Source organism: Homo sapiens, chromosome 1, assembly GCF_000001405.40.
Source record: "Homo sapiens chromosome 1, GRCh38.p14 Primary Assembly".
In the NCBI taxonomy this organism is placed as follows: domain Eukaryota; kingdom Metazoa; phylum Chordata; class Mammalia; order Primates; family Hominidae; genus Homo; species Homo sapiens.
The window spans coordinates 13314884-13328681 of NC_000001.11; the positions used below are offsets into that span (position 1 = coordinate 13314884).

The window sequence follows — 13798 nt, forward strand, 5'->3', positions numbered from 1 at the left end:
TACTTTCAGATTTTATTTTTCTGTCTAATGTCGGGAACAGATCAAATCCTTCCCTGCCTCACACTCAAGACTATGAAGTTCACATATTAATAAAATACCATCAGTGTTTGTGGAGTTCATGAATGAATGATTTTTTTATTTTTTGACAGAATCTCCCTCTGTCACCCAGACTGGAGTGGAGTGGCACAATTCTGGCTCACTGCAACCATTGCCTCCTGGGTTCAAGCAATTCTCCTGCCTCAGCCTCCCAAGTAGCTGGGTTTCAGGTGCCTGCCATCATGCCCAGCTAATTTTTGTATTTTTGTAGAGACGGGGTTTCACCTTTTTGACCTGACTGGTCTTGAACCACTGACATCAGGTGATCTACTCACCTTCTCCTTCCAAAGTGCTGGAATTACAGGTATGAGCCACCTCGCCCACCCTTGAATGAATGTATTCTTGACTTCTACCCTATCCCTAACACTGTCAATTTCTTGCTTCACGAACTGAATACAGATATGTGATATGAATGGATATCTGACTCAATCCATTAATCTGGGGAGAGCCAAAAACCCAATCAGGATTAACTGGGTGGAGCTTCACAAATGCAATCAGATATTGCTTTTTGATTGGAAGCTAGCAGTGCATACGTGGAGGGGCGTGGGTGGGAGTTGTGATTAGAAAGGTCAATAAAAGCTTCTAAAGACCCACAGGAGAGACCCAAAGTCTTCAAGCCTGGAGTTCCTGCTTGGTTCTTCCTGAGGTCTGAGCACCTTCTAGACTACATCCAGATCTGGTAAGTCACTAATTTCTGTAAGGACACTCCCATCTGACCTACAGTCAGTCGGTCTGGGATGGTGACAGTGCAGCCTACGATGGCACAGAGCTATATCCTGTCCTTTTTTTTTTTTTTTATATGAACAATTGGAAGCTTTGAATTTTTTCCTCTAAATGCAGTTCTGTCTTTATTTCAAAAAAGTTGATTGTGCTTTGGTTGATGCCATTTTAAAATTCTTGAAGGGAGCAGTGACTCATGCCTTTAACCCCAACACTTTGGGAGGCCAAAGTGGGAGGATCATTTCAGCCCAGGGATTTGAGACCAACCTGGACAACATGACAAAAACCCTCCTCTGCACAACGTTTTTTTTGGGGGTGGGGATGGAGTCTCACTGTGTTGCCCAGACTGGAGTGCAGTGGCACGATCTCAACTCCCTGCAACCTTTACTTCCCGGGTTCAAGCAATTCTCATGCCTCAGTCTCCATCCTCAGAAGCTGGTGTCACAGACATCTGAAACCATGCCTGGCTAAGTTTTGTATTTTTAGTAGAGGTGGGGTTTCACCACGCTGGCCAGGTTGGTCTCGAACACCTGACCTCAAGTGATCCACCTGCCTTGGCCTCCCAAAGTGCTGGGATTACAGCTGTGAGTCACCATGCATCTGTAGTCCCAGCTATTTGGGTGGCTGGTGTGGGAGAATCACTTGAGCACAGAAGATTGAGGCTGCAGTGAGCCATGCTCATACCACTGCTGTACTCCAGCCTGGGCAAAAGAGAGACACTCTGTCCAAAAACAAAAACAAAATCAATCAAAAAGGATCTTTGACCGTAATTTTAAACCAATCACATCCTCTTCCACCCAAATGGAGACATGGCTGTGGGGGGTGCATGCCTGTAGTCCCAGCTATGTGGAAGGCTGAAGCATGAGAATTGCTTGAATCTTGGAGGCCGAGGTAACAGTGAGCCAAGATGGTGCCACTGCATTCCAGCTTGGGCGACGATGTGAGACTCAGCTCCCTCAGCACCAAAAAAAATTATATGACCCAGGTGATCATGGGTTACATGAAGATTTCTATTGTGTTTTCTTAGGGACTGTCATCTCTGTCTTTGAAAACTGTTTTAACTCTGAAATATTTTGATAAATTTGATGTGGCCAAGGATCCCTCAACAAGGATAATTTCAAGTTTTCTTTCTTTCTGTCTAATATCAGGAAGAGATTCAACCCTTCCCTGTCTCACACTCAGGACTTTGAAGGACACATATTAGTAAAACTCCATGTTTGTGAAGGGAATCAGTGAATGAGTCCTGGACTTTCACCCTATCCCGAAATCTTTCATTTTGATGGATTAATATCTAATTCGATCAGTTATTCTTTAAGAAAGCCAAAAATCCAATAAGGATTAACTGGGTAGAGATTAAGAAGTCTAGTCAAATGTAGCTCTCTCTGTCTCTCAGTTCAATCTAGCCTATTCCCCAGGCTGGAGTGGAGTGGTATAATGTCAGCTCACTGCAACTTCTGCCTCCTGGGTTCAAGTGATCCTCCTACCTCAGCCTCCCTAGTAGCTTGGACTACAGGCGCAGACCACTGCACCTGGCTAATTTTTGCTGTCTTAGTAGAGGCAGGGTTTTACCATGTTGGCCAGGCTCGTCTTGAATTCCTGATCTCAGATGATCCACCTGCCTCGGCCTCACAAAATGCTCAGATTACAGGTGTGAGTCACTGCACCCAGCCAAAATGGTTCAGTTTGAACATGTGTAACAGGAGTGCATTGGAAACATCTATCTTGCGAATGATGCATAACAGTGTCACATAGCTTTCAAAGCTTCTCACTGAAATTTTCAATAATGAGGCTGGGGTGGAGGCTCACACCTATAATCCCAGTATGTTGGGAGGCCAAGAGGGGTAGATTGCTTGAGACTAGGAGTTCAAGACCAGCTTGGACAACATAGCGAAATCCACTGTCTTTACAAAAAGTCAAAAAATAGAAGATGAGCTGGGTGTGGTGATGCATAACTGTGGTCCCAGCAACTTGGGAGGCTGAGGAGGAAGAATCCTTTGAGCTGGGAGGTCAAGGCTGCACTGAGCTGAGATCCCACCACTACACTCCAGGCTGGGTGACAGAGCAAGACTCTGTCAGAAAGAGTGAGAGAGGGAGAGAGAGAAAGAGAGAGAGAATGAGAGAAGGGAGGCAGGGAAAGAAGACAAGAAAGAAAGAAGGGAGAGAGAGGGGGAAAGAAAGAAAGAAGGGAGGGAGAGAGGGAAAGAAGGAAAGAAGAAAGAGAGAGAAAGAGAAAGCAAGCTTAAATAATGAAAAGAAAACAAATAGAACCTGTTCTAGGGATGCCCCATGAATGTTCCCAACAAGCTTATTTGTAGGAACTGAAAATGTGGGCATGTAGGCTTGTGACACTCCCATTCCCATTGTTTTAGATCCTTGAGTAATTAGTAATTTCCCCCAATGGTAGGAGGGGTTCACTTTCAGGTTCCTCCATACTCACTAGTCACTGGATGGAGCACTGGATAGAAAGGAAGGGCTAGTGGTGGCCCTGCTTCCTCACTGCTTCGGAGACGCTCATGCTGATGCAGCAGAGGCAGAATGCTGGCTTAATGGCCACTGAGTACAGAGTAGAATTGGAGTAAACTGAGGACTCTTTCACCATTGCCAGAGCAGTGAGTTTGGCCATAGGAGAAGATGAGATTGCATGGGCTTGGCCTGAGAGTGATGCCTCTTCTCTGGGTTTGTCCTCTGGAAGTTTTCCCTGCAGATTCATGAAGATGAGCATCCGGACTCCACCCAGACTCCTGGAGCTTGCAGGGCGGAGCCTGCTGAGGGACCAAGCTTTGGCCATGTCCACCCTGGAGGAGCTGCCCACAGAACTTTTCCCCCCACTGTTCATGGAGGCCTTCAGCAGGAGACGCTGTGAGGCCCTGAAGCTGATGGTGCAGGCCTGGCCCTTCCGCCGCCTCCCTCTGAGGCCTCTGATAAAGATGCCTTGTCTGGAGGCCTTCCAAGCTGTGCTCGATGGGCTTGATGCACTGCTTACCCAAGGGGTTCGTCCCAGGTGAGGTGGCCCAGGTGGGCTGGTGGGGAGGGCCCAGGTGTCCAACTGAAGGAACAGCTGGGTCATGTGAAGTGAGGAGGCCCAAGGGGGATGGTGGTGGTGAGGAAGCCGAGAGGACTTGGCCATTCACCAGCTCCTCAGGGAAAGCACTGCTCACCACGCAAGGTCCATGGAGGTAACAGGAACCTCTCCTCTAATGGCACTGAAAGGCACCATGAAAAGTGAGAACTGGGCCGGGCACGGTGGCTCACAATGTAATCCCAGCACATTGGGAGGCTGAGGTCAAGAGTTGGAGGCCAGCCTGTCCAACATGGTAAACCCCAACTCTACTACAAATACAAAAATTAGCTGGGCATGGTGGTGGGTTCCTGTAATCCCAGCTACTTGTGAGGTTGAGGCAGGAGAATCATTTGAACCCGGGAAGCAGAGGTTGCAGTGAGGTGACATCACACCACTGCACTCTAGCCTGGGCGACACAGGGAGACTTGGTCTCAAAAAAAAAAAAAAACAAAACAATGTGGAAGTGGGCAGGATCCAAGGGGAAAACAGAGTGAAGAAAAGTCAGAGAGAGGGACAACAAGCAGGGAGGGGAGGAGCTGCTATCCAGGATGTGGAGTTTAAGTTCAGAAATGAGTTCTTAAATTCTCAGTCTCACCTCTATTTTGCCACAGGAGGTGGAAACTCCAAGTGCTGGATTTACAGGATGTCTGTGAGAACTTCTGGATGGTTTGGTCTGAAGCTATGGCCCATGGGTGCTTCCTCAATGCCAAGAGGAACAAAAAACCAGTGCAGGACTGTCCAAGGATGAGAGGACGGCAGCCCTTGACTGTGTTCGTAGAACTTTGGCTCAAGAACAGGACTCTGGATGAATACCTCACCTACCTCCTTCTATGGGTCAAGCAGAGGAAAGATTTACTACACCTGTGCTGTAAGAAGCTGAAAATTTTGGGAATGCCCTTCCGCAATATCAGAAGCATCCTGAAAATGGTGAACCTAGACTGTATCCAGGAGGTGGAAGTGAATTGCAAGTGGGTACTGCCCATCCTGACACAGTTTACCCCATACCTGGGCCACATGAGGAATCTTCAGAAGCTCGTTCTCTCCCACATGGATGTCTCTCGCTACGTTTCCCCAGAGCAGAAGAAGGAGATTGTTACCCAGTTCACCACTCAGTTCCTCAAGCTGCGCTGCCTCCAAAAGCTTTATATGAACTCTGTTTCTTTCCTCGAAGGCCACCTGGACCAGCTGCTCAGGTGAGGGAGGATGGTGAGCTTTCTCTGCAGACCACAGCAGAGCCTGTTACAGTCAACACTAGTGGGCATCTACTGTGAGCCAGCCTATGAGGATGAAACAGTGAAGAGGACACTAGAATGTCCATGCATTGTCCTGTTGGTGGCCCTGTCCTGAAATGGGTATCATGCAACCATCCCAATAGAGGCAGAGGGATCAGCTAGGGGAGATGCTATGGAGAGGCTGCCATGCTAGGAAGCTAGCTACTGGGGGGTTCAGATCTAGTGAGGGTGCCTTTCTGAATTCTTCCTGAGGACATGTGTCTAAGTTAAGATGATGAAAAATACACCAGGGGCGGTGGCTCATGCCTGTAATCCTATCACTTTGGGAGTCTGAGGCAAGAGGATAGCTTGAGCCTAGGAGTTTAAGACCAGTCTGGGTAACATACCAAGACCCCTGTCAGAAATGAATAAATAAAAGTAAAAACAAACAAGATAACTTTTTTTTTCTGAGATGGAGTTTCACTTTGATCGTCCAGGCTACAGTGCAGTTGTGACATCTCAGCTCGCAGCGACTTCTGCCTCCCAGGTTCATGCGATTCTCCTGTCTCAGCCTCCTGAGTGCCTGGGATTACAGGCGTGAGCCACCACACCTGGCTAATTTTTATATTTTAAGTAGAGACAGGGTTTCACCATGTTGGCCAGGTTATTCTCCAACTCCTGACTTCAGGTGATCCACCCACCATGGACTCCCAAAGTGCTGGGATTATAGGCGAGAGCTACCACGCCCAGCCAACAAGATAATTTTTAAGAAGATGATGGGAAGTAGGGAAGTGAAGTGGGCACTGAAGAGGGGAATGCTCAGCAAACCTGCACATGTCAGAAAATCAGCTTTGTGCCCCACAGTTTTGTGAACATGAATGATCCCATCTCTAATTCCCTGTTGTAAAAGTTTCTTTTGAGCTCCAGGTAAATTAATTATCTAGGCAATGCATGATTCTGAAACAGAGGGTCAGGGAGCAGGCACAAAGAATGGTGAAAGTGATAGATGGTTTGCTGATGATACAGGCATGTCAGGGATGCCTACAGCCCGCCCACCCCAGCTGATGTTGCAGGATCCTGTCTGGGTTTGTCCTTTATGCCTGAATCTCCACTGGGCTCCTGCGGCCCAGGGATGTGGTTTTCTGCCTGACAGATGAGGAAAGGGAGCTTTAGGGATTCTGTGAACTTGATCCATTCCTATAAATGATGGTGAAGTGACTCAGCCTCAAATGGAATTATTTTTTCTCCTTTTTTTTTTTTCAAAACAGAGTCTCTCTCTGTCACCCAGGCTGGAGTGTAGTGGCATGATCTCTGCTCACTGCAACCTACACCTCCTGGGTTCAAGCGATTCTTCTGCCTCAGCTTCCCAAGTAGCTGGAATTGCAGGCTCCCGCCACCACACCTGGCTAATTTTTGGATTTTTAGTAGAGAGGAGGTTTTACCATGTTCAGCAGGCTGGTCTCAAACTCCTGATCTCAAGGAATCCACCAGTCTCAGCCTCCCAAAGTGCTGGGATTACAGGTGTGAGTTACTGGGCCGGGTCTAAAGTGGAATTGACCTCAGTGGCAAAGCTCTTCATCACGCATCATCCTAAGTGTTGACCATCAGGCCATCAGAATGACCCTGGACTTGGGCAAAAAGGTCTCCATCCATTACCTTGAAGCCATTCCCCACCACCCTCCACTCACCCCTATGATTCCCCAGAATTAACTTCTTGCTCTCTCTCCCCAGCTGTCTGAAGACCTCGTTAAAAGTCCTCACAATAACTAACTGTGTGCTTTTGGAATCAGACTTGAAGCATCTATCCCAGTGCCCGAGTATCAGTCAACTAAAGACCCTGGACCTGAGTGGCATCAGACTGACCAATTATAGTCTTGTGCCTCTCCAAATTCTCCTAGAAAAAGTTGCAGCCACCCTTGAGTACCTGGATTTAGATGACTGTGGCATCATAGACTCCCAAGTCAACGCCATCCTGCCTGCCCTGAGCCGCTGCTTTGAGCTCAACACCTTCAGCTTCTGTGGAAATCCCATCTGCATGGCCACCCTGGAGAACCTGCTGAGCCACACAATCATACTCAAAAACTTATGTGTGGAGCTGTATCCTGCCCCCCGAGAGAGTTATGGTGCTGATGGTACTCTCTGCTGGAGCAGATTTGCTCAAATTAGGGCTGAGCTGATGAACAGAGTGAGGGACTTAAGGCACCCCAAGAGGATCTTGTTCTGTACTGACTACTGCCCTGACTGTGGCAACAGGTCATTTTATGACCTGGAGGCAGATCAATACTGCTGTTGAATGCCTGCCTATTTGGATGGGTATGTCAAACGCTTTCTTCTGGACACTTGGAAACTAAAACCTAGGTCTTAGGTACATCCTAAAGGGAGCACAGAACCCATCATTTCACACATAGGCTCTGAAAGTGGGAAAGGAAAGCTGATCAAGCAGGGGCCGGACTTGGGGGAAATGTTGCCATGGATTCGATGGGACTTTGGGGACCTGTGTCCTGTAGATTCGAAAATGGGAATCTGAATGTCTAGAGTGGAATTCAGGCTTGAGAATACATGAGGGAGTTACTCTTGCATGGATGGTTGTAAAGAAACAATCAGAAATAAAGGAAAACTGAGCAGAATCTGTCTGGTGCCCTCTATTATTAAGTAACCTGTTTTCCAGTTTAAGCCTCAGGAATCTTCAGTTATTGATGGAAAAAACAAAAGGCACTGACTGAGTTGTCCAATCAATAAGATGCAGCCCAAGAAAATCAAGGCATTTAAATGAAATTTGGTTATTGTAATCACTTTCCTCCCATTCTTTTATTGGAGACAGAGTTTCACTCTTGTTGCCCAGCTTGGAGTTTAGAGTGCAATGGTGCCATCTCAGCTGACTGCAACCTCCACCTGGGCTTTAAATGATTCTCCTGCCTCAGCCTCCCAAGTGGCTGGGATTACAAGCATGCACACCATGCCCAGCTAATTTGTGTATGTTTAGTAGAGACAGGGTTTCCTCACTATGTTGGTCAGGCTGGTCTCAAACTCCTGACTTTGGGTGATTCATGCAAGTAGGCCTACAAAAGTGCTGGGATTACAGGTGTGAGCCACTGTGTCAGGCTTTTTTTTTCTTTTTGTTTTTTAAAGGTCTCCTGTCACTCAGGCTACAGTGCAGTGGCACAATCATACCTCACTGCAGCCTCAATTTCCTGGGTTCAAGCGATCCTCCCACCTCAGCCTCCTGAGTAGCTAGGACTACAGCTGTGTGAGCCAACACACCTGGATACTTCTTTTTAGTAGAGACAAGGCCTCGCTGTCTTCCCCAGGCTGATCTGTAACTCCTGACCTTGTGATTCTCCTGCCTTGGCCTCCCAAAATGCAGGGAGTATAGGCATGGACCACCACGCTTGGCTTGGCCTCCTCCAGTTCTTCACTTCTTTAGATGTCTGTTAACTCCTTGTTACTTTCTGTGGCTGTTCAGTGGGTTAATACACACTAGGTGGACACCAAAGGCCTGGAACATTACTGGGCAAAAACAGTGAGCCAATCCACACGGAAAGCACCTTCTTCTCAGCGTCTTTCACTGCTAGCCAGATGCTGAGACCCTGCCCACTCCCTGTGAGTCTCCACATGCTTCCAGAAGCCTTAGTTGGTGGATGTCAGCTTCACTGCACAAGGAGCCACACTCTTCCCACTGCCCTGGAAGGGGATGTCCATATTGTGTATTAGCTGGAGACTCTGGGCAGCATCAACCCTTGCTTGTTCTCCTGATGACCAGCAGCCCTTCTTGAATTAAACTGGTTGTAGCCAGTAAAGACAGCCACATTCCCTTTAAGTAAAATACTAAAACTATACAGGCATGTAACACTTTTTAAATATTTCCATCTGACATTTTAAAAGTTACATCTTTTTGGGGAGCTAGGTCAGATTGATGAGAGATTTTCTCATAACACATCCCCTCTCTCCCTATGAAGGAAGAGACTAGTGCAGCGTGTTCTGGAATCTGACAGCATCAAAGGGTGGATAACGATCAAGGGCCTGTGGGTGATGAGTGACCTTCCCTGTGTTGAGGAAGCCTGCATAATGGGCACCCAAGTGAAGGATCCTGCTGAGTACTCAGGGGCTGGTGTTGCTGTCAGGGATGTTAGCCAAGAGCCTCAGCTTCCTGTAAAATGAGGATGATGATGTCCAACAGCTTATGGGACCTTGGTAGGATCCAATGAGATGGTTCATGTTTAGGGCTTGGCATGGGGTCTGGCACACAGTAAGATCAATACATCTTGTTCTTTTTTCTCTTCTCAGCAGAAGTCCCAGCACTTTTCATCTTTCAATCTCACCTCCTTTTCCTGATAATAGAGAGGCAACAAGAACTCAGGGCATGCAATGGGGCTCAACTTCTACTCTCTGCCACAATTTTATCATGATTCCCCCAAAGAGCAGAGCCCCAGGAGCCAGCAGGGGGCAGGGTGGGCATTTCTGGACTGGATTCATTCATAATAAGATCAAAATTTCCAATCCGTATGTCTCGGGTGCCATCTGCTGATAGATCCGACCAGATGGTATAATTGAGTGTTGCAAGGATTATATTTTATGGTGTTTTTAAAAATGTACTATTATGAGCCAGGTGCAGTGGGTCATACCTGTAATTCCAGCACTTTGGGAGGCTGAGGCAGGTGGATTACCTGAGGTTGGGAGTTTGAGACCAGCTTGAGCAACATGAAGAAACCCCTTCTCTACTTAAAATACAAAAAATTAGCCAGGCGTGGTGGCGCACGTCTGTAATTGCAGCTACTCGATAGGCTGAGGCGGGAGAATCGTTTGAACCTGGGAGGTGGAGGTTGTGGTGAGCTCAGACTGAGCCATTGCACTCCAGCCTGGGCAACCCTAGCAAAACTCCGTCTCAAAAAAAAAGATAAAATAAAATTTATTATTATGGCTGGGCATGGTGTCTCACACTTCTAATCCCACCACTTTGGGAGGCCAAGGCATCCTCAGGATTTTGAGACCAGCCTGGCCAACATGGTGAAACCCCGTCTCTACTAAAAATACACAAAATTTGCTGGGAGTGGTGGCATTCGCCTGTAATCCCAGGTATTCAGGAGGCTGAGGCAGGACAGTCACTTGAACGCAGGAGGTGAGGGTTGCAATGAGACAAGATCGCACCACTGCACTCCAGCCTGGGCGACAGAGCATGAAAAAAAATTTACTATAATGTGAATACTATTAGAGTATAAATATTTGTGTTGTAATTTATGTATATGAAAGATTAGAACTTTTAAAGAATGCAACGTGATATTTCAAGAATGGTTAATGGCCAGGTGTGGTGGTTCATGCCTGTATTCCTGGCACTTTGGGAGGCCGAGGTGGGCAGATCACGAGGTCAGGAGTTCCAGACCAGCCTGGCCAACATGATGAAACCCCGTCTCTACTAAAAATACAAAAAATTAGCCTGGCGTGGTGACAGGTGCCTGTAATCCCAGATAGTCAGGAGGCTGAGGCAAGAGAATCGCTTGAACCTGGGAGGCAAAGGTTGCAGTGAGCCAAGAATACACCACTGCACTCCAGCCTGGGTGAAAGAGGAAGACTCCGTCTCAAGGAGGGTGAGAAAAAGAATACTTAACTTGGTTTGAAATGTCAAAACAAATGAGATTTTAAAAACCAATTTTAAAGACACTGAACAATAATCATTTCTTCTTTAAAATATATTTAGAATAATACAATTTTAGCTTTGAAAGGAAACATTACAGTTTTAAAAAATATTGAGTTTTATTTTATTTTATTTTATTTTATTTTATTTTATTTTATTTTATTTTATTTGGAGACAAAGTCTCACTCTGTTGTCCAGATTGGAGTGGAGTGGCATGATCACGGCTTACTGCAGCCTTGACCTCCTAGGCTCAGGTGATCTCCCTGCCTCAGTCCCCCTAGTAGCTGGAACAACAGGCATGCACCATCATGCCTGGCTTATTTTTGTATTCTTAGTGAAGACCAGGCTTCACCATGTTGCCCAGAATGGTCTTGAAATTCTGGGCTCAAGCGATCCACCTGCCTCAGCCTCCTAAATTGCTGGGAGTGAGCCCTTATAGGCATGAGCCACCACACCCAGCCTTGAGTTTATTTATTTATTTATTTTGGAGATGGAGTCTTACTCTTTCACCCAGGCTGGAGTGCAGTGGTACAATCTCAGCTCACTGCAACCTCTGCCTCGAGGGTTCAAGCAATTCTCCTGTTTCAGCCTCCAGAGTAGCTGGGATTAAAGGCATGCAACACCACACCTGATTAATTTTTGTATTATTATTATTATTATTATTTTTTAGTAGAGACAGGGTTTTGTCATTTTAGCCAGGCTGGTCTGCAACCCCTGACCTCAGGTGATCCACCCGCCTCGGCTTCCCAAAATGCTACGACTATAGACGTGAGCCACCACACCCAGCCTATTTTTTTCTTTACAGCAGTTTTAGATTCACAGAAAAACTAAGCAGAAACTGCAGAGTTCTCATCTACCTTCTTCCCCCTTCAATACACAGCACCCCCACAGGATCAGCACCCACACCAGCACAGAGCATTCATCACAACCAATGAGCCACAGGGACACATCATTATCACCCAATGTCCATAGTTCACATGAGGGATCATTGCTGGTTTTGTATATTCTATGGATTTTAACAAAGGGATAATGACATGTATCCACCATTAGAGCATCATGGAGAGTAGTTTTCTTCCCCTAAAAGTCCTCTGTCCTCTTCCCATTCATCCCATTGTGCTCCCAACCCCTTGCATCCACTGGGTTTTCTACTGTCTCCTTAGAAAAACGCAAAAGCTTTTTCTGGAATGTCTAACAGGATGAGTCTTTTCAGATTGCCTTCTTTCACTTGTACAATAACGTGCATTTAGGAATTTTTCATGTCTTTTTACAGCTTTATAATAGTTCACTGACTGGATGGATCAGTTTGCTTATCCAGTCACTGACCGAAGGGCAACTTGCTAGCTTCCAGGTTTTGGCGATTATGAATAAGTTGCTGTAAACATCCAGGTGTGGGTTTACTCACTTCATTAAATATCCAGGAGCATGATTACGGAATTGTAGGGGTATGGTATGTTTTACAATGATTTCTTCTTTCTTGACAATCTCACTTGTTCGATATTGCTGCTAAAGGTCAGGAACTTTGTCTCCATCATCCTGTGTTCCCACTGCTGAGCATGGAACGTGGCACTTGGTAGCAAATGCTGTTGACCACGTGATGCATGGAAACGTTTACCATGGGTATAGTCACTAAATTGCTACCTTGGCGACATCAACATTAGCTCACTACCAATAATATAAATAAATTGGATTATGGAAAAAATGGCCCTTGTGATACTGTGGATACTCCATGTGTATCATGAAAGTCCAGCAATTGACAAGGCACAGTGGCTCACATCTGTAATCCCAGCACTTTCAGAGACTAAGGTGGGTGGATCACTTCAGTCAGGAGTTCGAGACGACTCTGGCCAATATGATGAAACCCTTTCTCTATTAAAGACACAAAAATTAACTAGGGGGCTCTCTCCCTCTCCCGTCTCCCTCTCCCTCTCCCGTCTCCCTCTCCCTCTCCCGTCTCCCTCTCCCTCTCCCGTCTCCCTCTCCCTCTCCCGTCTCCCTCTCCCTCTCCCGTCTCCCTCTCCCTCTCCCGTCTCCCTCTCCCTCTCCCGTCTCCCTCTCCCTCTCCCGTCTCCCTCTCCCTCTCATGCCGAGCCAAAGCTGGACGGTACTGCTGCCATCTCGGCTCACTGCAACCTCCCTGCCTGATTCTCCTGCCTCAGCCTGCCGAGTGCCTGCGATTGCAGGCGCGCGCCGCCACGCCTGACTGGTTTTCGTTTTTTTTTGGTGGAGATGGGGTTTCGCTGTGTTGGCCGGGCTGGTCTCCAGCTCCTAACCGCGAGTGATCCGCCAGCCTCGGCCTCCCGAGGTGCCGGGATTGCAGATGGAGTCTCGTTCACTCAGTGCTCAATGGTGCCCAGGCTGGAGTGCAGTGGCGTGATCTCGGCTCGCTACAACCACCTCCCAGCCGCCTGCCTTGGCCTCCCAAAGAGCCGAGATTGCAGCCTCTGCCCGGCCGCCACCCCGTCTGGGAAGTGAGGAGCGTCTCTGCTTGGCCACCCATCGTCTGGGATATGAGGAGCCCCTCTGCCTGGCTGCCCAGTGTGGAAAGTGAGGAGCGTCTCTGCCCGGCCGCCATCCCATCTAGGAAGCGAGAAGCGCCTCTTCCCCGCCGCCATCCCATCTAGGAAGTGAGGAGCGTCTCTGCCCGGCCGCCCATCGTCTGAGATGTGGGGAGCACCTCTGCCCCACCGCCCTGTCTGGGATGTGAGGAGCGCCTCTGCTGGGCCGCAACCCTGTCTGGGAGGTGAGGAGTGTCTCTGCCCGGCCGCTCCGTCTGAGAAGTGAGGAAACCCTCTGCCTGGCAACCGCCCCGTCTGAGAAGTGAGGAGCCCCTCCGTCTGGCAACCACCCCGTCTGGGAAGTGAGGAGCGTCTCCGCCCGGCAGCCACCCCGTCCGGGAGGGAGGTGGGGGGGGTCAGCCCCCCGCCCGGCCAGCCGCCCCGTCCGGGAGGTGAGGGGCTCCTCTGCCCGGCCGCCCCTACTGGGAAGTGAGGAGCCCCTCTGCCCGGCCAGCCGCCCCGTCCGGGAGGGAGGCGGGGGGGGGGGGGTCGGCCAGCCGCCCCGGCCGGGAGGTGAGGGGCTCCT

At 48.3% G+C, this 13798-nt stretch overlaps 1 protein-coding gene across 1 annotated transcript; it reads left to right on the forward strand.

Annotated features, from left to right (window-relative positions):
• The first annotated feature begins 697 nt into the window (after nucleotides 1–697).
• Nucleotides 698–7715, forward strand: PRAMEF15 (PRAME family member 15). Its single transcript, NM_001098376.3, has 4 exons — nucleotides 698–775; nucleotides 3509–3817; nucleotides 4489–5070; nucleotides 6820–7715. The coding sequence occupies exons 2-4, from the start codon at nucleotides 3525–3527 to the stop codon at nucleotides 7379–7381; spliced, it is 1437 nt and encodes a 478-aa protein (NP_001091846.1). The 5' UTR covers nucleotides 698–775; nucleotides 3509–3524; the 3' UTR covers nucleotides 7382–7715.
• The last annotated feature ends 6083 nt before the right edge of the window (nucleotides 7716–13798 follow it).